This window comes from Homo sapiens, chromosome 10 (assembly GCF_000001405.40).
Source record: "Homo sapiens chromosome 10, GRCh38.p14 Primary Assembly".
NCBI classification, from domain to species: domain Eukaryota; kingdom Metazoa; phylum Chordata; class Mammalia; order Primates; family Hominidae; genus Homo; species Homo sapiens.
The window spans coordinates 25,963,791-25,991,685 of NC_000010.11; the positions used below are offsets into that span (position 1 = coordinate 25,963,791).

Sequence of the window (27,895 nt, forward strand, 5' to 3'; positions counted from 1 at the left end):
AAGGGCAGGATAGAAACATGGCCTAAATGTACTTCTTTATACTCTTCTAACTTAGGAAATTTATACATAATATATATAACTCTTATATATCTTTCTTTCCTAATTGTACTTCAGTGCCGGAAAAAGCATCTTCTTTGAATAGGCATGCACATTTATAGTGTTACTTCAGAGGTAAGAAAATATGAGGTGACCAGTGATGTCTTGCTATTTAATAAATTAATAGATTTTTATTGTACACATTAAAATATTTCTTCTGGTAAGTTATTTTCTCTGTTATCATAGATTTATTGTTGATTACATTACTAGTGTGCTATAGTGTTCCCCCTAGATTTTTAAAGCATTTTAGGGTGAAGTAAGTGTTCTATATTTTGATTTAGTGGTTACATGATTGTATATGATTACTAAAATACATCCAACTGTATACCTAAAAGAGCCAATTATATTATACAACAATAATACCTTTAAAATACTTCTAGTTTACACATTGGAAAAGGAATGTGAAAATTTTACACACTACAAAAGCACACATTAGAAAATGTCTATTAGGTGGTAGTCCCAGTTTTTATTAATATTTTATTAGTATTTTATTGGAATCCAGAATTTGGTACATTAATATATTTCATAGGAATTAAGATGAACATATCACACTTTGCATATACAAACAAACAAGCAAAAATAAAACTAATAAAAACTCACCTTAGCTTAGCTTTGTCCCCTGATTTTTAACTTTTTGTTGTTTCTATTTATATCTTATTGTACTATGTCTTGAAAAGTTGTTGCAGTTATTATTTTTGATTGGTTCATCATTTGGTCTTTCTACATAGGATAAGAGTAGTTTATACACCACAGTCACAGTGTTATAATATTCTGTGTTTCTCTGTGTACTACTATTACCAGTAAGTTTTGTACCATCAGATGATTATTTATTCCTTATTAATTTTGTTTTCTTTCTGACTGAAGAACTCCCTTTAGCATTTCTTGTAGGATGGGTTTGGTATTGATGAAATCCTTCAACTTTTGTTTGTCTGGCAAAGTCTCTATTTCTTCTTCATGTTTGAAGGGTATTTCACTGGATATACTATTCCAGGGTAAAAGTTGTTTTCTTTTTCCTTCAGCACTTTAAATATGTCATGCCACTCTCTCCTGGCCCATAAGGTTTCCACTGAAAAGTTGCTGCCAGAAGTATTGAACCTCATTGTATGCTATTTATTTCTTTTCTCTTGCTGCTTTTAGGATCCTTTATGTATCCCTGACCTTTGGAAGTTTGATTATTAAATGCCTTGAGGTAGTCTTCTTTGGGTTAAATCTGCTTGGTGTTCTACAACCTTCTTGCACGTGGATATTGATATCTTTCTCTAGGTTTAGGAAATTCTCTGTTACTATTCCTTTGAATAAACATTCTACACCTGTCTCTCTCTACCTCCTCTTTAAGGCCAATAACTCTTAGATTTGCCCTTTGGAGGATATTTTCTTTTGCACTGGGTCTTTTACTTCATGGCGGCAGATTCCCTTATGGCCCAGAGTGTGTTTAGAAATGTCATCTGGGAGCTAGGGCCTGGAATGGGGGCCTCATGATTCTGATTGGTACCCTGTCCTGCTGTGGCTGAGCTGGTATCCAAGATTCAAGACAAAGTCCTTGCCACTCTTCCTTCTCCTCTCCTCAGGGGGAAGGGAGGGGTTTCTTTTGGAGCCTTGAGCTGTGCAGCCTGGGGCTAAGGGACGTGATGCCAGCACTCCCTTGGCTGCCCCAGTTGGTGTCTCAGTTCGTTGCGTGATCCCCGAGTCCACTGTCTCTGGGCCCTAGTGCAGCACTAGGACTTGCTTATGATTTGTAGTCCTCATGGCCTAGATTGCTTTTCAAGTTTACTTGAATATATAGAGTGCAAACCTGCAAACCTCTGTAGCGAGGTTTGCAGGCACTCAAGTTCAGACTGCTGGAATTGGTAGTTCCCCTCTGCCTAGGCTGAGTTTAAATGCTCCCTCTGTGGGTGGGCGTCAGTTGAGCTTGCCCTACTTTTCCTTTCTGCTCTAACAGGACAGTACTGAGTTCAATGCCTCACAATTGCTGTGTTCGCCCTCCTGCAGCACCCAGAGAAACTCTGGGCACCACCCATTGGCTACCGGGGTAGGGAAGGGGTGGTATAGGTGATTCAGAACTGTTTTTTTTTTTCTCTCTCTCTCTCTCTCTCTTCAGTGCCTCCTTCAGCAATATGAAGTTAAAACCAGATACTATGGGTGCTCACCAGATTTTCGGTTCTTAAGAAGGTGTTTTTTTCTGTGTACATAGTTATTAACTTGGTGTCCTTGCGAGGGGGTGGGACTGGGATAATGGGTGGAACTTTCTATTCTGCCATCTTGCCCCCGCTCCCTGGTTTCTAAACCCTGAAGCCACGATATACTTTGAAGAGGTATCTTCCATAGCATGTGAAAAGATGACCTCTGTCATTTTATTACGTGTGTGCGTAAGTTTACAGAACTGAAGTTTATTCATCTAATAATTTATTTATTCTATAAATAGTAATCTGTTACTCTGCACCAGCCATTTTGGTAGGTTCTCAATATTGAATAGAGAACAAGACACTCTGCCATCATGGAACTTGCTGTATAGTGGTGGAGGAAGACAATTTAAAGCTAAATTTAAAAGTGGTTATTTGTGTTTATTAGTGCTATGAAGAATATAAAAGGGGACATTGATAGGATAGGAAAGAGAAAACCTTTTGTGAAAAGAGTAGTCAAAGAAGTTCTATGTGAGGAGGCAGCATTTTAATCTGCTACCTGAAAACAAACAAAAAAAAACTGAACAGTTTTAGTACCTTTATTCTTTGAAATAGCCCCCAAACTACTTTTATGAAAGGAATCTCAATATCTTGAACCCCATGCAGCAAAAACTGCAAGAATGGTGTCTTGGAAACTGTGGTTTTCTAAACAAGCACAAAGGTGATTCTTATGAAAGGAAAGTCCAAGAAACTCTATCAGAGGTTCTCAAATTATAGTATACGTAAAAACATTCTGGGGCTTCTGCTTCTGGTCATGACAGACCAGGTATTGACATGCTGTTGTACCATAAACAACGAGAAAGCTAGACAAAACATATTTTTAAAAACACAACACTTTTTAAATATTGGAAAAGAGACTTAGGACTGTGACATTGATAAAAGGAAATAAATGAGGCGAACACTACAATTACCTCATCATTATTCATAGAGGCAGTTTCCAGAGCACAGGCAGAAGGAAGCTGTTCCCAAGGAGATCAAAGCAACTGTTGCTGCACTGAAGAAATTGGAAAGGCAGAGTGACTGGACTGTGCAGAGAAGAGGAAGTTATGCAGAAAAAAGCTCTGAAAATCTACATAAAGATTATCTACACAATCTAAATAAGTACATAAAAATATTTAACTGAAAACCCACATAGATATATGTAGAGTGTGACTTCAGGCAGTTTGGCAAAGAATAATTACCAGAGAAAGAATCAATGTAGGGCTGTAATCCACACAACTACTGGAGTTTGTGCAGGATTGAGAGATGCTCGAGTTACTACCAGCCAAAATGGGGAAACTTCACTGAACGCCTGAGACATTTAATAGAGACCCTCCAGAAAGGTTATACATTGGAGGAAGGACTAAACTAGCCCTAGAATAAGAGCTACCTGAAAAGTTCAAGTTGATCCACAAGTAATTAACTGCCTGCCAGAGCAAAATTCAACATTTATTATTAGAAGACAGCAAAATCTACAATTCAATAATGTAACACTAAGAATATCCAGCTCCAATATTAGATCACTAGATATGTGAAGATTCAGGAATATGCAGCCCATTATCAGAAGAAAAATCAGTCAATAGAGTCAGACCCAGAAGTAACAGAGATGTTGAAATTAGCTGGTTCGTACTTTAAAATAGTTATAAATATGTTCAACAATTTAAAGAAAAACATGAACATAATGTTGAAAGAAATGGAATATAGAAAAAAGAACTGAATAGAACTTCTAAAACTTAAAAATATAATATATATGATGACAAATTCATAAGAATCAGGTTTAACAGCACAATAGGCATATGGGAGAAAAGATCAGTAAACTTGAAGGCAGGAAAATTTAAGCTGTTCAAACTGAAGCATAGTTATCAAAATAAGGCTGGAGAGAAAAGTCTCTGTGACCTATGAGACATTACCTAGTAGTCTCACCTATGTGTCATTGCAGCCTGAGAATGGCGGGTGTAGGGGGTGGAGGATATCATTTAAATAATGGCTGAAATTTTTCTAAATTTGCTGAGCACTAAGAAGCTGAAGAAGGTCAAAAATCACTCAAGTATGAGAAAGAAAGCCACACTAAGGTATGTCATAATCCAAATGCTGAAAACTAATGAGAAGGATTATAAAAGCAGCAAGAGAAAAAAGACACATTACATTTAGGGGTCATAGATAAGAATGGCCACTGGTTTGTCATCAAATGCAATGGAATGACATCTTTGAAGGACTGAAAGAAAAGTCCCTTCAATTTTGAATTCTGTATTCAGTGAAAATGTTATTCATAAATAAAGACAAAATTAAAACAGACATTTATGTCAAATGAAAAAATGAAGAATTTACTGGCAGAGACCTGCACTATAAAAAATGTCAAAGAACATTTTTTAGGCTGAAGGAAAATGATTCCAGGTGAAAAGTCATACCTACAGAAAGGAATAAAAATCACCATCAGTGGTAAATATAGGGCAGATATGAAACATTTGATTTTATACTTGTTGTATCTTTGAAAGAAAAAACGCTTTTTAGAACTACAATTATAACTCTATATTGTGAAGTTATAACCAGTGTAAATAGCAAAGGGACAGAGGAGGAAAATTGGAAGTACAAGCAGTTTACCCTTATCCAAGGTTTTGCTTTTCACAATTTCAGTCACCTGTGGTCAACCACTGTTTGAAAATATTAAATGGGAAATTCCAGAAATAAACAATTCACATTTTCAGTTGTGTGCCTTTCTGATTAGCATGATGAAATATCATGTGGTCCTGCTCCATCCCACCCAGAATGTGAATTATCTTCTTGTGCAGCATATCTATGTTGTATATGCTACCTGCCTATTAGTGACTTAGTATCCATCTGGGTTATCAGATTGTCATAGTATTGCAGTGCTCATGTTCAAGTAACCCTTATTTTACTTAATAATGGCCACAGGCCAGGCATGGTGGCTCACGCCTGTAATCCCAGCACTTTGGGAGGCCAAGGTGGGCGGATGACAAGGTCAGGAGATCAAGACCATCCTGGCTAATACGGTGAAACCCCATCTCTACTAAAAATACAAAAAATTAGCCGGGTGAGGTGGCGTGCACCTGTAGTCCCAGCTACTCGGGAGGCAGGAGAATGGCTTGAACCCGGGAGGCGGAACTTGCAGTGAGCCGAGATTGCACCAGTACACTCCAGCCAGCCTGGGCAACAGAGCAAGACTCCATCTCTAAAAAAGGCCCCAGAATGCAGGAGTAGTGTTGCTGGAATGTTGTTATAATTGTTCCATTTTACTAGTAGTTATCATCTCTTACTGTACCTAGTTTATAAGTTAAACTTGATCATAGGATATATGTATAGCAAAAAGCATAGTATATATACGGTGCAGTACTATCTGTGGTTTTGGGTATCCACTGAAGGTCTTGGAACATATAATCCGTGGATAATGGGGGACTAGTGTATACAATTAAAGTGTCTTATATGTGAAGTGGTATGTTATTTTAATGTAGATAGTGATAAGTTAAAGATGCATATTGTAAACCCTAAAGCAACTGGTAAAAAATAAAATGAAGTATAGCTAATAAGCTAGTGGAGTACAAAATGGAATACTAGAAATATTCAACCCAAAGAAAGTAGGAAAATAGGAAAAGAGAACAAAGAAGAGACGAATAGAAACAAATACAGCAATGTGGTAAACTTAAACCCAGTTATATTTATAATTACATTAAGTGTATATGATTTAGACTATACAATTTAAAGGCAGAAATTATGAGACTGGATTGTAATACCCAACTACAAACACACTTTAAATAGAAACATGCAGATAGATAGATTGAAAGTAAAGAGATGGAGAAGCTGTACAATGAAAACATTCATTTTATTCATTTCAATAGTTGGAATGGCTATTTTAATATAAGGCAAGGTAACTTCCAGACAAGCAGTATAATCAGAGACAGATGACATTTCATAATGACAAAAAGTTCAATTCATCAAGAGGAGAAAACACTTTTTAGTTTGTGTGTGCTTAATAACAAAGCTTTAAAATTATATGTGTCAAAAACTAAGAGAAATGAAAAAAGAAATAGTCATATCCTCAATATTAAATGGAAATTTCAAAATCATTTCCTCAGTAATTTAAAAAACAAGTAGAAAATTATTTGAGGATACATAAAATTTAAATATTCTGGACCATAAGACAAATATCAACAAGTTTAAAAGAGTCAAAATCATAAAAGAATATTATCTGACCATAATGGAATTAAATTAAAATCTATAAAATAAAAATATAAGAAAAACTAACAAATACCTGGGAATTAGATCACACACCTCAAAAACAAACTTTAGGTCAGAGAGGAAATCAAAAGAAAAGTGTGAAAATATTTTGAATGGAATAATGGAAATGCAACATATCAAATGTGTAGAATGCATTTAAGCAGTGCCTAGAAGGGCATTTGCACCTCCCTGTAATGTATATTAGAAAAAAAAGATTTAATATCGGTTATATAGATTTTTGCCTTAAGAAGTTAATAAAATTGAAGCAAATTAAATCCAATATAACCTAAATGAAAGAAGTAATAAAGATAATAGTAGAAATCACTTTAGTAAAAAATAAACAAAAATAATAGAATGAAAGGAAGAGTTGTCTCTTAATAAAGTAAATAAACTTGATCTCTTTAGACAGATCCAGAGAAAAGTAAGAAAATACATATTATTTATATTAAGTATCAAATGGGGAAAATTATTATTGAATTTATAGACATTCAAATGATATTAATGAAATATTATGAACAACTTTATATTGATAAGTTTGGTAATTTAGTGTCTTGGGTCTTTCTGGAAAGACATGAGTTGTATAACTGATATGAGAAGAAATAGAAAATGCAAATAGTTTATATTAATAAAAGAAACTTAATAATTAAAACCCTTTCCACAAAGAAAATACCAAGCCCAATGACTTCACTGGTGAATTCTGTCAAATATTTATACTAACTTAATTCTGGAGAGATATAGAAATATTATTGCTCTAGCTCTATTCCCTTTTCATTTTCATTCTGTATTGTTATACACATTGTATCAGTAAATAGTAGAACCGTGCATTTTTTTTATATTTTAAAGAAAAGCAGAAGAAAGAAGAACAAGTATTTAATTATAGTTTGTTATCTGTCTTATTTAATGTTTCCAGTTCTTTTAGTTTGTTCCTGTGAATTTGAGTTCCTGCCTGGTGTGATTATTTCAGTACAGCTTTGCTCCAACCCACCTCTCTTATGCAATTGTTAAATATGTCACATTTCTATATATTGTAGGCCCAACAATACAATTATATGCCTAATGTTTTATACAATTGCTTTTTAAATAAGTTAAGAGAAAAAGGAAGAAATATGCATTTACAGTATATCTTCATTTTTCTCTAATAAAATAATTATCATTACTAGTGCTCTTTGTTTTCTTGTGTAGATCCAGATCACTATGTGAGATCACTTACTTTCATTCTAAAAAATTTCCTTTAGTATTTCTAATAAGTTGGTTCTGCTAACAGTGAGTTCTGTCAATTTTGTTTACCTGGCAATGTCTTCATTTCCCCTTTATTTTTGAGAGAGTTTTGCTGAGTATGATAGTCTTAGTAAGGTATTTTTTCCTTTAGCACCTTGAATATGTCATCTCTCTGCCTTCTGGCCTACATAGTTCTAATGAGAAGTCAGTTGTTAACATTGTTAGTTCCCTAATATGTGACAATTCATTTTTCTTCTGTTAATTTCAAGATTTTCCTTTTATTATAGGCTTTCAACCTTTTTACTATTGTGTGACTAGCTTGGACCTCTTTGCATTTATCTTTTTTTGTTTGTGTGTTTGTTTGGAGACAGAGTCTCACTCTGTCACCCAGGCTGGAGTGCAGTGGCACAGTCTCAGCTGATTGTAACCTCCGCCTCCCGGGTTCAAGCAATTCTCCTGCCTCAGCCTCCCAAGTAGCTGGGACTACATGCATTTATCTTATTTGAGTTCATTGAGCTACCTGAATGCTTCTCATTAAATTTGAAAATTATCAGTCATTACTTCTTCAAAGATTTTTCTTCTGCTGCTTGTTCTCTCTCTTGTTTTCTCATACTGTCATTACATGTATGCTTATATTTCTCTGAAACTGTTCATTTACCTTCATTCCTTCTTCTTTTTTTCATATTTTATAATCCCAATTCAAATCTGTTGAGTCCCTGTAGTGAAATTTTCATTTCCATAACTGTAGTTTTTAAATCTATAATTTTCACTTTGTTCTTTTTTTATGAATGATGAGTGTTCTCTTTATTGATATTCCATATTTGATGAGACATTACCATCAAACCTTTCTTTGCTACTGTAAGGATGATTTCCTCTAGTTCTTTAAACATATTTATATCTTTGCTTTGGAATATTTGTCCACTAAGTCCAATGACTGGGCCCGCTCACAAGCCCTTCTTTTTTTCATGTGTATGGATGATATTTTCCTGTTTCTTTGCATGTCTTATTTTTTTGTTGTTGTTGAAAACTGTACATTTCAGAAAATTTGCTTAAATTATTATAAGAAGTCTTCGTACTAAGTTCCCTGGGTGGGGAACTTGTTGTTTGCCTGTTTGTTTAGTGACTTGGCTGGACTATTTTAGTAAAATCTATTTTCCCCATCTATGAAGCCTTTGATGTCACTCTTCAGCAAGCACAGCTTAGGGCATATGTACAATCACCCTGGAATGACAGTGATTTTAACAGGGCTTTTCTATGACTGTTTCATTCCCTGGTCTTTTTATTAATCTGTCTGCCTCTGTTGGTGCCACCCCCAGTTATTAGGCTCCACTAATTGTCAGCTGATTCCTCTGTTGTTTCCAGCAGTGTCCTGGGGCATGAATTGTTTCACAATCTGATTCAATTAAGTTGCAGACTCCTTACAGGAGTACTTTTTGTGGCTAGCTTTGAGGTTCATTTTGATTCCAGGACAGTTCTTCTTAGCTGTTTCTTTTTAAAAATTCTATTTGCTAATTCTGTGAAGAATGTCAATGGTAGTTTAATGGGAATAGCATTGAATATATAAATTATTTTGGGCAGTATGGTCATTTTCATGACATTGATTCTTTCCATCCATGTGGACGGAATAGTTTTCCATTTGTTTAGGTCCTCTCTTATTTCCTTGAGCAGTGGTTTATAGTTCTCCTTGAAGAGGTCCTTCACATCCTTGTTAGCTCTATTGCTAGGCATTTTATTCTCTTTGTAGCAATCGTGAATGGGAATTCATTCATGATTTGCCACTCTGCTTGTCTATTGTTGGCGTATAGGAATGCTTGTGATTTTTGCACATTGATTTTGTATCCTAAAACTTTGCTGAAGTTATTTATCAGCTTAAGGAGTTTTTGGGCCAAGACGATGGGGTTTTCTAAATATAGAATCATGACATCTGCAAACAGACAATTTGACTTTCTCTCTTCCTATTCAAATACCCTTTATTTCTTTCTCTTGCCTGATTGCCCTGGCCAGAACTTCCAATACTATGTTGAAAAGGAGTGGTGAGAGAGGGCATCCTCATCATGTGCTGGTTTTCATAGGGAATGCTTCCAGTTTTTGCTCATTCAGTATTTTATTGGATATGGGTTGTCATAAATGGCTCTTATTATTTTGATATGTGTTCCATCAATATCTAGTTTATAGAGAGTTTTTAACATGAGGGGATGTTGAATTTACAGTAACCAAAACAGCATGGTATGGGTACCAAAACAGACATATAGATCAATGGAACAGAACAGACACCTAAGAAATAACACCACACATGTACAACCATCTGATATTTGACAAACCAGACAAAAACAAGCAATGGAGAAAGGATTCCCTATTTAATAAATGGTGCTGGGACAACTGGCTAGCCATATGCAGAAAACTGAAACTGGACCCCTTCCTTACACCTTATACAGAAATTAATGCAAGATGGATTAAAGACTTAAATGTAAAACCAAAAACCGTAAAAACCCTCGAAGAAAACCTAGGCAATACCATTCAGGACATAGTCATGGGCACAGATTTCATGATGAAAACACCAAAAGCAATTGCAACAAAAGCCCAAATCGACAAATGGGATCTAATTCAACTAAAGAGCTTCTGTACAGCAAAAGAAACTATCATCAGAGCGAACAGGCAGCCTACAGAATGGGAAAAAATTTTTGCAATCTACGCATCCAACAAAGGACTAATATCCAGAATCTACAAGAAACTTAAGCAAATTTACATATGTAACAAACCTGCACATTCTGCACATGTATCCCGGAACTTAAATAATTTTTTAAAAGGTATAAATTCAAAAAATAATTCTATTTGCTAAGCTGTCCAGTCTGTGGTTAGCTTGTTGCTCTCATGGAGTTACCAGCCTCAGTGTAATTATCAAAATCTCACTCTTTTCAAGAGTACTCTTAGGCTTTAATTTTCCCACACTGTCTCCCAAATACAGTCAGAACCACTGCGGAGAGCTTTGGAGTTCTTTGTTCTTATGACCTGCCTCTCCCTCTGGGCCAACTCTCTGAGCCACTGTTCAGGAGCTGGCAGCAGAGACAGGGGCCCACATCTCTTAGAGTGACACCTTGTTTCACATTGAACTGGCTGGGGATGTTTGAGGGAGAGGATGGCTCAAATGCCACAGACTCCTACTGTTCTAACTGAGATTGTGTTATGATCTTGAATGTTTCTTCGCTGACTGTATGCCCTTATGACAATTTCCAAAAACTTAAAATGGCTCTTTATTTTTCCAATTTTTAGTAGTTATGGTTGCTTCACTGGAGAATGAATTGATGAGTTCATCACACCACCATTCTGGAAACAAGAGTCCTAGAAAATATTTAAGAAAGAAATAATCAGTCTTATTGCCTCATTTTATGAGGCCAGCATTATACTGTCAACTGAAGAATTGGAAGATTCATACATTTGGAAAAGAAAGCTTTATTTCTTATAAAGTGTTGCAGTCTGCAAGCTAGCCATCTGTAGGCTGGGAAGTGTGGCCTCTGGTAGAAGCCAAAAGCAGGCACTTTGAGGGAGGGAAGGATAAGACAGGAATTTATGCTGAATGAGTTGGCTAAGTATACATATTCATGAAGGGGAGGCATGTGCACGCACAGTAGGTTATCTTGTATGTAATATGCATTCTGTGTTTGCTTTGGGATGGAGATGTAGCATTTAAATGTACTACAATTAGGTCCTATACATGAAAAGGTGAAGCAGAGGACAGGAAGGCCCTCAGTGCATGCAGCCTCAGAAGACTGGCCAGAACCACTCCAGGATCAGGCAGTCTCTTATCAGAAAGGAATGCTAGTTAGTTGCTGTGTTGAAACCACAAAAGTGAGGGGTAGCATTAAGCAGTTGGTTGAATTAAATAATGGAGCAAGTATCTCAAAAGGGCTGCTTTCTGTTTAATCTTTAGGAAAGAAAGCGTAACGGCAGTTATCAAAGAAGAGGGTGTAACAACACGTGTCCAACTTATCCCATCATGGCTGGGACTGTTTTTAAGGTTTCTCTAGGGTCTACTTGGCCAAGAGAGGGTCTATTGAGTTGTCTGAGATGCTTAGGATTTAACTTTTATTTCTCAACAATGTTGAAAGAAGACAAAGACATCATAAGAAAATTGAGTCTGACATTCCACATGAACCCAGATGTAAAGTACTTCACAGAGTATTAACAAATAAAATCTAGCAATATATAAAAATATTAATACATCATGACTGAATGGAGTTTATTTCAGGAGTGAGTGCAAGTTCGTTAAAACATTAAAATGCATTTGTTAAAACATTAAAAATTCTCTGCACCACAATTGCATTAACAGAATCAAAGTGGAAAAAAATCATGAAAGACATGCCGAAATTCAATACCCATATGTGATAAACACAGTCAGCACACTAGGAATAGTGGGAATTTTATCTAATAAAGTGTACCCACCCAATTTAAAGGTAGTAAGCTAGAACTTTGGACATTGTACAAAACCATATAAATGAAATATGTTCAAAATCTTTAGTCTTTGGGGAAATTTAAATTAAAACCACAATGAAATGCAATTAGACATTTGCTAAAATGGCTAAAATTAAAACACTGATAGTACTGAGTATTGGTGAGGTGGCAGAGCCAATTGTACTCTTATACACTGCTTATGGCAGTGTAAAACAGTTCAGTTACTTTGGAAACATACAGCAGTGTCTTATAATGTGACATATACGCCTACCACATGATCCAGAAGTTTCACTTGTAGGCATTTGCTAAAGATTAGTGTTTCCAAAAGACTCAAGCATGAATATTGATAGCACTTTTATAATGAGCAAAGTGAAAACGGGAATGAATATTAGAAAATCACAGTTTCTGCTTTTGTAGCCTCACACAGAATATAGTCAGACTAAGCTAATGGCCTTAAAACATTATTAGAATAAACAAAAAACAATTGAAAAACAACAAAGCCAGTAATGCCAACTATAGAAATTAGCAATCATTTTTCAGAAATTTGAGTAAAAATCTCATGTCCCCTCCTAAAGACAGAATACATTCAGAGAACTTAACAAAGGCTGTCTTTGGAAGTTAGCTGCAATGATCTGTTTATATAATATTATACCTTTTGATTTAGTTTTGTTTTGTAATGTTTGACTACAGCTAGGGTAGAGAATTCATTTTCAGTGCTGCTCTGTTATTTAATTAGTGTAGCTCTAGCTTAGGAAAATTATACTTCAATTTTGTTTGATTAAAGAACACTAAGGTCTATTTTAGCATTGTGTTGCAAAACTATACATAATTATTTTTCAGTCTACTATTATAAAATCCCCCTTTTAGTCTATCTTGGTGATTTAAAAATTGCATAGGCTAAATACGACATAATTCATTCACCTGGATGCAATTATTTTTAAAGGGAAACAATATCATTTTTATTTTTTATTATCTGTTGCCTAATTATACGGTATTTACTTTTCATTTAAGATATTTTAATTCTTCATATTTATTTTTAAAAACTCATATTTCAGTTTGAATATTATCTTGTTACTTTTCTTTATGTAAGAAGGACATTTTATGCTGGTTGAAGAAAAGTATATTTTGCAAAAGACCATATTTGAAATTTCACTAATTCTAAATGAAGAATTAGAGAGTTCATGGTATGTTCATATCTGGAGGTTCTTTAGGAAGATTTTCAGACACAAAGTCATTTGTGGTGTATTGATATTTAGTTATCAACAGTCTGCTTAATAATTTCCATGTTTGTCTATTCACTTCCTCCTCCAATTTCTTTTCCATTTTAATCAAACTCTTGAAGTTTCATTCAGAAAACTTTTTCTGTTCTGAAAACTAAACCACTGATCCTACTTTGGTAACAGAGAAATAAATTCCTTGTATGAAACAGGTACAGGAGGGGTTGGGCAGCATTCAAGGGGAGGGGATTATAAAGAACTTCAGTTTCTCCTGGTCAGGTTCATGTGAGCCTCACCTAGTGGTTTCCCTAACAGCAGATACAGCCATAGTCAAGCAGATAAACCAATATACATTCAAAGCAAAATGACTGAGAAAATATTTGATTTTAAAAATTTTGTCATTTGTGATTTTCTGTCCCTAATCTCTTAAAAATTAAAATAAGTGGGGTGTATTTTTTCTCAGTGTAACTTAAATAAAATGAATGAATGAATAAAACTTGTGTTTCATATTATATAAAATGAGAATTTTGTGACTTTGAAGAGCAAGAGTTTAGGTTTACATTGACTAACTTACTAAGCCCTAAATACTAGATGTTAACAAACCTTAGGTATGTGTTCTTTACAAAATAGATGCACAAAAGAGAAAGGCATTTCTCCTTTCTCTTTGTCCACCATCTCACTTCCACTTCCAGATAGAAATATCCAAAAGTATCACATACAAGAGTCTCAGTATTTTGGGGAGACAGGAGTGGGGAGGTTCTGTTTCTGATATCAATGTTGCTATCTCTTTGCAATTTTATATAGTTTTTTTGTTATTTACTCCCAAATCTCTGGCTTCTAATGTGAATTTTTTTTTAATAACATGTATAGCAAACGATGTAGTAGAAGACATAAAGGATATAAGGCTTTTTATATTTTCAAATATACTGTGTGATTTATAAGTAAAATTTGAATATCTTGTTTTAATAATTTATTCTATTCCTTTCATATGTTAAACTTAGAGAATGATTTTGAGTTTGTTTTTATTGAAGTGTCTTTTGTCTTGAAAAATTAAGTGGCTATGTTTATTTGGAATAGGAATGATGTATTAATCTGTTTTCACACTGTCAGTAAAGACATACCCAAGACTGGGCAATTTATGAAAGAAAAAGGTTTAATTGTACTTACACATGGCTGGGGAAGCCTCACAAACATGGCAGAAGGCAAGGAAGAGCAAGTCACATCTCACGTGGATGGCAGTAGGCAAAGAGAGGAGCGCTTGTGCAGGGAAACACCCCTTTCTATAACCATCAAATATCATGAGACTTCTTCATTATCAGGAGAACAGCACAGGAAAGACCTGCCCTCATGATTCAATTACCTCCCACCAGGTCTCTTCCACAACACATGGAAATTGAAGATGAGATTTGAGTGGGGAAATAGCCAAACCATATCAAATGAAGTCATATACCACCTAAAATTGTACTTTATTATTTCTATAAAATACTTAGCTAATATAAATAAGAATATAAGAATATTACAGAATATAGAATTATAGATCCTATGTAGGAAATTACTATCTTAGTTGAATTGCTCAGATAACTAATAACATTTTAAGGGAATTTATCAGGTGACATTCAAGCCACAAAACAAATTTCATGGGGAGAATTTGTTTATATGCTTTAGATTTCTATATTTATATTTTCAGAAAGATTTGCATATTTTATCCCTTTGATATGGTACTATTGTTGCTAGTGGTAATTGTGGGTCATATGTTTGGTATGTGCAGACTATTATTATTGCCTCTCGTCTGCTACTTCATTGTCTGGAAATGTTTGATTGTAATTTTTTTCCACATTGTTTGCTTAGATCTGTAAAATAGAGGATTATGAAATCATTTTGGAGTTCTTAGAGAATTGGTATTCATGTCTTTCACCTCACATTCTAGTGTGACTTTAACTGGTCTTTCTTTCTGAAGAGAGCAACTCACTGCATTTTAGTATACAATCAATTGTGAGGGTATATCTCCTGCACTACAAGCCAACTCAGTGGCTTCTACAGAATTAGAGTACAGTGTTTGCAGTTATTAGAGTGAATAGCATTGTTTCTTTTTTAACTATTAAAAATTTCCTGCTTTGGTTTTTGTATACATACTTGTTTTTAAAAATCTAGTAAGCTTAAGTAGTTGTAGTAAGAAAATGATTTAATCACCATCTTACCAGGGTCACAAAATATTATCTTAGTTTGGAGAAAAGCTTTTCTTCTATTACCAAAAAAAAAAAAAGAAAACAGTGACCATACAGAAAAAAGTTGATAAATTTGAATCACCCAACCCACCCTCCCAAGTGTACTTCTGTGTTCCAGAAGACATCATAACCAAAGGAAACATACCAAAACAATCTGTAGAAAACTATTGTCAACATATATGACAGCAGATTTAATATTCTCTTTAAAACCTTTTATTTTTTCCATTCTAACTCAATGTTACCAGTCTCTGTGAAATTCTATAGTACTTTGCACATAATTCTTTTACCACATAACTATAATTCAAGACCTACATACAGTCTAGGTAATTGTGTGTTTTCCCTCTAATGAGGGGCTTTTTCAACCTTGGCACTGTTGACATTGTGGCTTGGATAATTGTTGTGGGGGCCTTTCCTGTGCACTGTTGTATGTTTAGCAGCATTCCTGGCCTCTAGATGCCAATAGCAGTTTCACAGCCTTGACAGTAAAACATATTTTCAAACATTGTGAAGTGTCCGCTGGTTATAAAATCTCCCCCAGGCAAAACAAACAAACAAAAAACAAGGAAAGGCCGGGCGCAATGGCTCACGCCTGTAATCCCAGCACTTTGGGAGGCCAAGGCGGGTGGATCATGAGGTCAGGAGATTGAGACCATCCTGGATAACACGGTGAAACCCCTTCTGTACTAAAAAATACAAAAAATTAGCCAGGCGTGGTGGCAGGCGCCTGTAGTCCCAGCTACTCGGGAGGCTGAGGCAGGAGAATGTGGTGAACCTGGGAGGTGGAGCTTGCAGTGAGCCGAGATCGCACCACTGCACTCCAGCCTGGGCAACGGAGCGAGACTCCGTCTCAAAAAAAAAAAAAAAGCAAAAAACCCCACATAATGCTTATAAAATCTCTTCCAGGCAAAACAAACAAACAACAATAAGAACAACAAAAAACCCTCACTATTTTGATTGTATTTTAAGCCTCTTGAGAAAAAGCGGTCCTAGTCATCTTTGATGCACTTGAGCACCTACTCAGTGTTTTGCATATAGTAACAATTCAATAAATACTTGTTGATTTTAAAGGAATAAATTATGATTCTTCTAAATTCCACTTTCTTAATCAAAAGTATTACATTATGAACACATTTATATATAAATGTGTCAATACCTCACTTGTCTAAAAATGTATTGGATATAAAATTCAGTCATGAGTAGAATGATTTCATTCTGGAGAAGACATTCTAGGGGCACTTCATTTATATTGAACTTGGATTAATTTTGTGTGCTTCATATTATTTCAGGTCCTTTTTGTATATTCTTGGTGTTAGCAACTGTGTTTTTAAAACAAATTGGTAGACTTTATTTTTTGAGCAGTTTAATTTTGCAGAAAAATTAAGCAGAAAGTAAAGAGCTATATAAGCTTCATCTTGTACTAGTGTGGTACATTTGTTACAACTAAGCCAAGGATGATACATTATTATTAACCAAAATCCATAGTTTACATTAGGGTTCCCTACTGTTATACATTTTATGGATTTTGACAACTGTATGATGATCTGTATCAATCATTACAGTATCGCATAGAGTAGATTCACTGCCCTAAAAATTGTCTGTGTTGTACCTATTCATCCCTCCCTCTCCCCTGAATCCCTAGCAATTACTGATCTTTTCATTATCTCCACTTTTGCCTTTTCCAGAGTGTTATATAATTGGAATCACACAGTATGTAGCCTTTTCAGATTGCCTTCTTTCATTCAGCAATATGCATTTAACGTTTCCCCATTCTTGGTGTTTGCAACTAGATTTTAAACACAATTCAGGGTTGTATCTCCTGTTTCTTGGACACTTACCACTAGTAGAAAAGTGTACTGTTATAATTTGACATCCATATACCAACCATACCATACATCACACTATATACAAAAATTAAGTCAAAACGGATCACAGACCTACCTGTATGTAAAACTGAAAACTATAACGTTCCTAAGGAAATTACAGGAGAAAAAAATTGTGACTTTGAATTAGGAAAAAAAAAATTTAGACACAAAAAGGCACATTTTATGAATTTGTTTTAAATGATCAATTTAGAGCTTCTGCTCTTCAAAAGACACTTAAAATAAAAGGGCAAGCCACAGGGTTGGAGGAAATACTTCCAAAACATCTATTATGATAAAGGACTTATATCCAGAATATATAAAGAGCTCTCAAAACTCAACAATAAGCAAATAAGCAGTGAAAAAATGAACAAAAAATTGGATGTTTCACCAGAGAAATTATATGGATGGCAAATAAGTACATGAAAAGATGGTCAATGTTATTAGTCATCAGGAAAATCTACTCTAAAATCACAATGAGATACTAGTACTATTTAGAATGGCTTTAACAGGATTAAAATGGTGGATAGAAGGCAAGATTAACTTGCAGCTCCTACTCAAGACAGACAGAGCAGCATGTGAAGACTCACATCATGAAGTTTTACTCCAAGAACTACCTACCACAGGAATATACCAGGAAATCTGAGACATTTTGAAGGAACTGGATCACCTCTTCAGGTTCCCTGAGATGCCAAAAAACTGTGAGTCTGCTTGCTTTCTCAATGGGGAGGCTCGTAGTCTGGGGCAAGCTCTCAGCCCTGGTTACCAGCTGCCTGGAAATAGACTGGGTGCTGTTGATGGGGCACGGTGGGAGTGAGACTGGCCTTTAGGACTGCAGGCTGTGTGGGAGCTGGGTGAGGCTTGTGCATGCCAGCTTACCCCCACTTTGCTGGTGACCTGTGTGACTCAGCAGAGGCAGACATAATCTCCCTGGGAATATAACTCCACTGGACTGGGAACTACACCGTCATGCCCCACAGCAGCCACAGCGAGCCCCACCCAAGGAGAGGCTGAGCTCAGACACACCTATCCCTGCCGCCACCTGGTGGTCTTTCTCTACCCACTCTGGTAGCCAAAGAGGAAGGTCTTGGAAGACAAAAACTCTTGGAAGCTCTATGGCCCTGCTCACCACCTGAGAAACCTGAATACCTATCCAGGTGTCCCTAGGGCAAGTTTGCATGCTCTCTATAGGACTGCAGCTGATATGCTATTGAAAGCACCACCTCCTGGCTGGAGGCCAACCAACACAAAACCAGTGCACTAAACAAAAACACAACCAAAGACCTTCACTAAGCCCACTTTACTCCCCTGCTACCTCCACCAGTGCAGGTATCCACAGCTGCAAGACCTGAAGATGGATCACATTACAGAACTCTTTGCAGACGCTCCTCAGTACTAACCCAGAGCCTGGTAGCTCTGCTGGGTGGCTGGAAACAGAAGAGCAAAACCAATAACTACAATTTGGGTATTAAAAAACCCCATTCCTAGTGAAATGGAGAGAACACCATATCAAGGGAGCACCCTGTGGGACAAAAAAATCTGAACAGCAGCCCCTAAATCCCTGATCTTCCCTCTGACATAGTCTACCCAAATGAGAAGGAACCAGAAAAACAATTCTAGTAATACGACAAAACAAGATTCTTTAACACCGCCAAAAGATCATACCAGCACACGAGCAATGAACCCAAACCAAGATGAAATCTCTGAATTGCCAGAAAAAGAATTCAGAAGGTCAAATTTTAAGCTAATCAAGGAGGCACCAGAGATAGGTGGAGTCCAACTTAAAGAAATTAAAAACATGATACAGGATATGAAAGGAAAATTCTTCAGTGAAATATTAAATAGATAGCATAAATAAAAAACAATCACAACTTCTGGAAATCAAGGACACAATTAGAGAAATGCAAAATTCACTTGAAAGTCTCAGCAACAGAATTGCACAAGCAGAAGAAAGAACTTCAGAGCTTGAAAACAAGGCTTTTTAATTAATCAAAGACAAAGAAAAATGATTTTTGTTTTTTTTTTTTGAGACAAATTCCCACTCTGTCACCCAGGCTGGAGTGCAGTGGTGCGATCTCGGCTCACTGCAAGCTCCGCCTCCCGGGTTCATGCCATTCTCCTGTCTCAGCCTCCCTAGTAGCTGGGACTACAGGCGCCCGCCACCACGCCCAGCTAATTTTTTTTGTATTTTTAATAGAGACGGGGTTTCACCGTGTTATCCAGGATGGTCTCGATCTCCTGACCTTGTGATCCACCCGCCTCGGCCTCCCAAAGTGCTGGGATTACAGGTGTGAGCCACTGCACCCAGCCAGAAAAATGAATTTTGAAAAGTGAATAAAGCCTCCAAGAAATTTGGGACTATGTTAAATATCCAAACCTAAGAATAATTGGTGCTCCTGAGGAAGAAGAGAAATCTAAAAGTTTGGAAAACATATTTGAGGGAATAATTGAGGAAAACTTCCCCAGCCTTGCTAGAGATCTAGCAAATACATCCAAATACAAGAAGCTCAGAGAACACCTGGGAAAATCATCACAAAAGATCATTGCCTAGGCATATAGTCATCAGGTTATCTAAAGTCAAGACAAAGGAAAGAATCTTAAGAGCTGTGAGGCAAAAGCATCAGGTAACCTATAAAAGAAAACCTATCAGATTAACAGCAGATTTCTCAGCAGAAACCCTACAAACTCGAAGGGATTGAGGTCCAATTTTTAACTTCCTTAAACAAAACAGTTATCAGCCCAGAATTTTGTATCCAGAGAAACTAAGCTTCATAAATGAAGGAAAGAAGGTCTTTTCCAGACAAACAAATACTGAGAGAGTTCACCACTACCAAGCCAGCACTACAAGAACTGGTAAAAGGAGCTCTAAATCTTGAAACAAATCCTCCAAATACAACAAAATAAAATCTCCTTAAAACATAAATCTCACAGAACCTATATAACAATAACACAATGAAAAACAATCAAGGTATTCAGGCAACAAATAGCATGATCAATAGAATAGTACCTCACATCTCAATACTAGCATTGAATATAAATGGCCTAAATACTCCACTTAAATGATACAGAGTGACAGAATGGATAAGAATTTACCAACCAAGTTTCTGTTGTCTTCAGAAGACTCACCTAACACATAAGAACTCGCAAAAACTTAAGGTAAAGGGGCCAGGTTTTTCGCAGGCTACATAAATAACACACCTGGTCAAACCAATCCCCTGGGCCCTATGCAAACCAGAAACCACCTCCTCCAGCCTCCCGATACAATAAACTACCTTTCTGCCACACATGGTGTTTCTTTTTGTTCCAAGCCCCCCTCCCTTGTCTCTGTACAGGGAAGCTGTTCTCTTCTTCTTTCTTGCCCATTAAACTTTTCGCTCTTTGAAACCACTCCACGTGTGTCTGTGTCCTGTCAGCACAAAACCAAAAACCCTGGTGTTCCTACAGTCATCAAAGCCATATCAAGACCACAGTGGAATAAAATTGGAAATGAACTCCAAAAGGAACCCTCAAAATCATGCAAATACATGGAAATTAAATAACCTGCTCCTAAATGATCATTGGTCAACAATGAAATCAAGATGGAAATGAAAAAATTATTTGAACTGAACAATAATAGTGACACAACCTATCAAAAACTCTGGGATACAGCAAAAGCAGTTCTAAGAGAAAAGTTCATAGCATTAAATCCCTACTACATCAAAAAGTCTGAGGCCGGGCTTGCTGGCTCATTCCTGTAATCCCGGCACTTTGGGAGGCTGAGGCAGGCAGATTGCCTGAGCTCAGGAGTTTGCAGCCAGCCTGGGCAACACAGTGAAACCACGTTTCTACTAAAATTCAAAAAATTAGCCAGGCATGGCGGTGTGTGCCTGTCGTCCCAGCTACTTGGGAGGCTGAGGCAGGAGAATTACTTGAACCGCGGAGGCAGAGGTTGCAGTGAGCTGAGATCATGCCACTGCACTCCAGCGTGGGTGACAAAGCAAGACTCTGTCTCAAAAAAAAAAAAAAAAAAAAATTCTGAAAGAGCACAAATATATACAATCTAAAGTCACACCTCACAGAACTGGAGAAGCAAAAACAATCCAAACCCAAACTCAGCAGAAGAAAAGAAATAATGAAGATCAGAATAGAACTAAATGGAATTGAAACAAACAAACAAACAAACAAAAACAACAGATAAATGAAATAAAAAGCTGGTTAGACAAAGATTAACCAAGAAAAGGAGACAGAAGATCCAAATAAGCTTAATTGAAAACGAAATGGGAGATATTTCAACTGATACCAGAGAAATACAAAAGATTATTCAAGGATACTATGAACACCTTTGAGCACATAAACCAGAAAATCTAGAGGAGACAGATAAATTCCTGGAAATATGTAACCCTCCTAGATAAAACCAGGAAGATATAGAATCTCTGAACAGACCAATAACAAGCAGCAAGTTTGAAATGGTAATAAAAAAATTGCCCACCAAAAAAAGTCCAGGATCAGACAGATTCACAGCTGAATTCTATCAGACATTCAAAGAAGAATTGGTACCAATCCTATTGATACTATTCCAAAAGATAGAGAAAGAGGGAATTCTCCCTAAAGCATTCTGTGAAGCCAGTATCACCCTAATACCAAAACCAGGGTAGGACATAACAAAAAAAGGAAACTGCAGACCAGAAGAAAACTGCATATCCCTGATGCACATAGATGCAAAAATCCTCAACAAAATACTAGCAAACTGAATCCAACAGCATATCAAAACAGTAATTCACCATGATCAAGTGGGTTTTATACCAGGGATCCAGGGATAGATTAACATATGTAAGTCATAAATGTGACACACTACATAAACAGAATTAAAAATAATAATTACATGATCATCTCAATAGATGCAGAAAAAGCATTTGACAAAATCCAGCATCCCTTTATGATTAAAGCCCTCAGGAAAATTGGCATAGAAAGGAAATACCTTAAGGTAATAAAAACCATCTACAACAAACCCACAGCCAACATTATACTGAACAGGGAAAAGTTGAAAGCATTCCCCCTGAGAACTGAAACAAGACAGGGATGCCCACTTTCACCACTTCTATTCAACATAGTACTCGAATTCCTTGCCAGAGCAATCAGTCAAGAGAAAGAAATAAAGAACATCCAAATCAGTAAAGAAGAAGTCAAACTGTCACTCTTTGCTGATGATATGATCTTATACTTAGAAAACCCTAAAGACTCATCCGAAAAGCTCCTAGAACTGGTAAATGAGTTCAGCAAAGTTTCAGGAAACAAAATTGATGTACACAAATCAGTGGCTCTGCTATATGCCAACAGCAGCTAAGTGGAGAATCAAATCAAGAACTCAAACTCTTTCACAACAGCTGCAAAAATAAATAAATAAACTATTTAGGAATATATCCAACCAAGGATGTGAAAGACCTCTTACAAGGAAAACTACAAAACCGTGCTGAAAGAAATCACAGATGACACAAAAAAATGGAAACACAACCGATGCTCATGGATATGTAGAATCAATATTGTGAAAATGACCATACTGCCAAAAGCAATCTACAAATTCAATGCAATTTCCATCAAAATACCACAATCATTCTTCACAGAACTAGAAAAAAAATCATGAAATTCATATGGAACCAAAAAAGAGCCCAAATAGCCAAAGCAAGACTAAGCAAAAAGAATAAATCTGGAGGCATCACATTACCCAACTTCAAACCACACTATAGGCCATAGTCACCAAAACAGCATGGTACTGATACGAAAACAGGCACATAGACCAACGGAACAGAAGAGAGAACCTAGAAATAAAGCCAAATACTTACAGCCAATTGACCTTCAACAAAGCAAACAAAAACATAAAGTGGGGAAAGGATACTCTATTCAACAAATGGTGCTGGGATAATTGGCAAGCCACATATGGAAGAATGAAACTGGATTCTCATCTCTTACCTTCCACAAAAATCAACTCAAGATGGATCAAAGACTTAAATGTAAAACCTGAATCCATAAAGATTCTAGAAAATAATATGGGAAAAACCCTTTTAGACATTGGCGTAGGCAAAGACTTCATGACCAAGAACCCAAAAGCAAATGCAACAAAAACAAAGATAAATAGATGGAACTTAATTAAACTAAAAAGCTTCTGCGCAGCAAAAGAAATAATCAGTAGAGTTAGCAGACAATCCACAGAGTGAGAGAACATCTTCAAAATCTATATATCTGACGAAGAACTAATATCCAGGATCTACAAAGAACTCAAACAAATCAGCAAGAAAAAAAATCCCATCAAAAAGTGGGCTAAAGACATGAGTAAACAATTCTCAAAAGAAGATATACAAATGGGCAACAAGCATATGAAAAAATTCTCAACATCACTAATTATCAGAGAAATGCAAATCAAAACCACAATGTGAAACCACCTCACTCCTTCAAGAATGGCCATAATCAAAAAATCAAAAAATAATAGATGTTCGCATGGAAGCATTGAAAAGGGAATATTTTTACACTCCCATCAACACCACTATGGAACCACTATGGAAAACAGTGTGGGGATTCCTTAAAGAACTAAAAGTAAATCTACCATTTGATCCAGCAATCCCACTACTAGGTATCTACACAGAGAAAAAGAAATCACTATATGAAAAAGATATTTGTACACACATGTTCATAGCAGCACAATTTGCAATTGCAAAAACATGGAACCAGCCCAAATGCCCATCAATTAACAGGTGGATAAAGAAAATGTGATATATATATATGATCGAATACTACTCAGCCATAAAAGGGAATGAAATAATGGCATTCACAGCCACCTGGATGGAATTGGAGACCATTATTCTACATTATTCTAAGTGAAGTAACTCAGGAATGGAAAACCAAACATCATATATTCTCACTCATATGTGAGAGCTAAGCTATGAGGACACAAAGGCGTAAGAATGATACACTGGACATTGGGGACTCGGGGGAAAGTGTGGGTGGGTGGTGAGGGATAAAAGACAGCACACTGGGCACAGTGTACACAGCTCGGGTGATGGGTGCACCAAAATCTCAGAAATCACCACTAAAGAACTTATTCTTGTGACCAAACACTACCTGTTCCCTAAAAACCTATTGAAATTTAAAAAAAATTTAAATAAAAATAAAATAAAAAAATAGAATGGCTTTAATGAAACACCTCACAATGTCAAGTGCTGATGAAGATATGGAACAACTAGAACTCTCATACACTGCTAGAGGGGCTGCAGATGGTATAGCCATAGCCACCGTGGGAAACAGTCTGGCTGATGCAGAGACAGTTAAATATATAACCCATAGGATTCAGCAGTTTCCTCTCTTTGTACTTACCCAAGAGAAATGAAAACTTATATTCACATCAAAATCTGTACGTGAATGTTCATAGCAGTTCTACTTATAATTGCCAAAAACAATTAAAATGCCTTTCAGTTTTATAAATGAATAAACAGTGGTTCATCCATTCAGTAGAATACTCAGCATTAAAAAAAAGGAATTAAAAAACCCATTAAAACAGCATTTAGAAAAAGAATGTGCAAAGAAGCCAAATATTTACTCTTGTGTTAACATAATAGTCAATTGCAGAAAGTACAGCCAAATAGAGGCCACACTGGAGAAATAGGAAGATAAATTTAGTCTCCCTACAGTGCTTTTAGAAGTTTAAAACACAGCCCTAAAACTCTTTTTTTTTTTTTTTTTTTTTACTTTTTTTTTAGAGACAGCGTCTCGCTCTGTCGCCTAGGCTGGGGTGCAGTAGCTCACTGCAGCCTCGAACTCATGGGCTCATGCAATCCTGCCTCAGCCTACCAAGTAGCTGAACCTCAGCTATGTGCCACTATGCCTGGCTAATTTTTATAAAAAAATTTTTTTAGAGGCAGGGGTCTTACTGTGTTACCCAGGCTGGTCTCTAACTCCTAGCCTTAAGTGATCCTTTCACCTTGGCCTGCTAAAGGGCTGGATTACAGATGTGAGCCACTGCACCCAGCCAAACTTAGTTTTTTGGCTTTTTTTTTTTTTTAAAGCAGCTTGCAATTTAAAAGATACAATTTCTTTTCAATCAATTGTGAGTACTTTTGTGAGCCAGCAGCACTAGGCCACAGTGGAGCCAGTCTGACCTTTTATTCGGCTTCCAGGGCAGCAACACTCTTGTTTATGCAGCTAAAAGGGTATTACCCTTCCTGATACAGAAGAAAAATGCAAGTCTTGGAATGCTAGGCTGCACATACTCCTGTATAACCTGAAAGAAGTTTTCTCTGAATGAAGAAAAACACCAAATATAAATGTGCCTCAGTTTTTTCATGTTTAACATGAAGATGATACTACCTACTTCAGACAGTGGTGAGGTTTAGAGATAATCATGTAAACTGATTAGAAATGTGCCTGGCACAAAGTAAGTATGCAATTCATCTTAACTATTATTATTAATCCAAAATGTACTATAAGTGTTCAGGCATCCAGTAAAATCTAATCACCACATTAGAAAAATTGCATGAGAAAATTCATTCAGTTTTTCAATTTGCTTTCACCTTCTGACTTGGGTTAGAAGAGAGTCAGGGAAATGATGGTTTCTTTAGTTCCCAAGCAGGTGGGAAAGGAGGAGGCCCCGTATGTCAGGGTGATGGGCAGGGAAACCACAGAAAGGAGCCGTGGGATGTGTGACAAGGCTGATGGCAAAGGCTGAAGTATTAAGGATTGGAGGATCAAGGATTTGTGGGGTCAGTGCTTCACTGGGACGTTCTCTTGTTCCAGGGCCATTTATCCAGTTATCTTCCATTTTTAATTAATATTTGCTGCTAATATCAGTGTTTCTCTGTTCTGCAAACATACAGCTCTTTTGAAAGTTTTCTGTGATATTTAATATTACGTAACTTTGGAGAACCCAGATGTGGAAAACTCCCCTACCATGTTCCTTCCTCTTGTTTTTGTATGTATATTCTCCCTGTTTTGGGTGTGGGGAGGGGAAGGAGGATGCCAAAGTATGTACGGGTACATGATATTCTGGGTAATTTTCTAAGATATTATTTGTAATACTTACTGTAATAATAATGTATCCTGAAATTTTTTCAAATTTTTAAATTAATGTACATACAAAATGGTATATAACTGTTTTGAGGTGACATAATCTATTGCACTATTGATTAAACTATCATAAATCAATAATGCTTTTAAGCCCTAGATCCTAAAATTTGAGAATAATTTGTAGAATCATAATTCTTTTTTTTAAGGTAAAAGAGTTGTATTTCTTTTTTTAATATATATATTTTTTATTATACTTTTAAGTTCTAGGGTACATGTGCACAACATGCAGGTTTGTTACATATGTATACATGTGCCATGTTGGTGTGTTGCACCCATTAACTCGTCATTTACATTAGGTATATCTCCTAAGGCTACCCCTCCCCCCTCCCCCCACCCCACAACAGGCCCTGGTGTGTGATGTTCCCCTTCCTGTGTCCAAGTGTTCTCATTGTTCAATTCTTACCTGTGAGTGAGAAGATGCGATGTTTGGTTTTTTGTCCTTGCCATAGTTTGCTGAGAATGATGGTTTCCATCTTCATCCATGTCCCTACAAAGGACATGAACTCATCATTTTTTTATGGCTGCATAGTATTCCATGCTGTATATGTGCCACATTTTCTTAATCCAGTCTATCATTGTTGGACATTTGGGTTGGTTCCAAGTCTTTGCTATTGTGAGTAGTGCCGCAATAAACATATGTGTGCATGTGTCTTTATAGCAGCATGATTTACAATCCTTTGTGTATATACCCAGTAATGGGATGGCTGGGTCAAATGGTATTTCTAGTTCTAGATCCCTGAGGAATCACCACACTATCTTCCACAATGGTTGAACTAGTTTACAGTCCCACCAACAGTGTAAAAGTGTTCCTATTTCTCCACATCCTCTCCAGCACCTGTTGTTTCCTGACTTTTTAATGATCGCCATTCTAACTGGCATGAGATGATATCTCATTGTGGTTTTGGTTTGCATTTCTCTAATGGCCAGTGATGATGAGCATTTTTTCATGTGTCTGTTGGCTGCATAAACGTCTTCTTTTGAGAAATGTCTGTTCATATCCTTCGCCCACTTGTTGATGGGGTTGTTTGTTTTTTTCTTGTAAATTTGTTTGAGTTCTTTGTAGATTCTGGATATTAGCCCTTTGTCAGATGAGTAGATTGCAAAAATTTTCTCCCATTCTGTAGGATGCCTGTTCACTCTGATGGTAGTTTCTTTTGCTGTGCAGAAGCTCTTTAGTTTAATTAGATCCCATTTGTCAATTTTGGCTTTTGTTGCCATTGCTTTTGGTGTTTTAGACATGAAGTCCTTGCCCATGCCTATGTCCTGAATGGTAATGCCTAGGTTTTCTCCTAGGGTTTTTATAGTTTTAGGTCTAACATTTAAGTCTTTAATCCATCTTGAATTAAGTT

At 36.4% G+C, this 27,895-nt stretch overlaps 1 protein-coding gene across 21 annotated transcripts in view, besides 1 other annotated feature; it reads left to right on the plus strand.

The window, feature by feature from the left end:
- Positions 1-27,895, plus strand: part of MYO3A (myosin IIIA) — a 278,304-nt gene that overhangs the window by 29,562 nt on the left and 220,847 nt on the right. The gene's annotated exons all lie outside the window — the stretch shown is intronic.
- Positions 11,084-11,630: an enhancer, noted in NCBI's record as "NANOG hESC enhancer chr10:26263803-26264349 (GRCh37/hg19 assembly coordinates)". NCBI's record gives its function as "activates a minimal SCP1, AML or CMV promoter by ChIP-STARR-seq in naive H9 embryonic stem cells {active_cell/tissue: H9 hESC(naive)}" and the evidence as "EXISTENCE:reporter gene assay evidence [ECO:0000049][PMID:30033119]".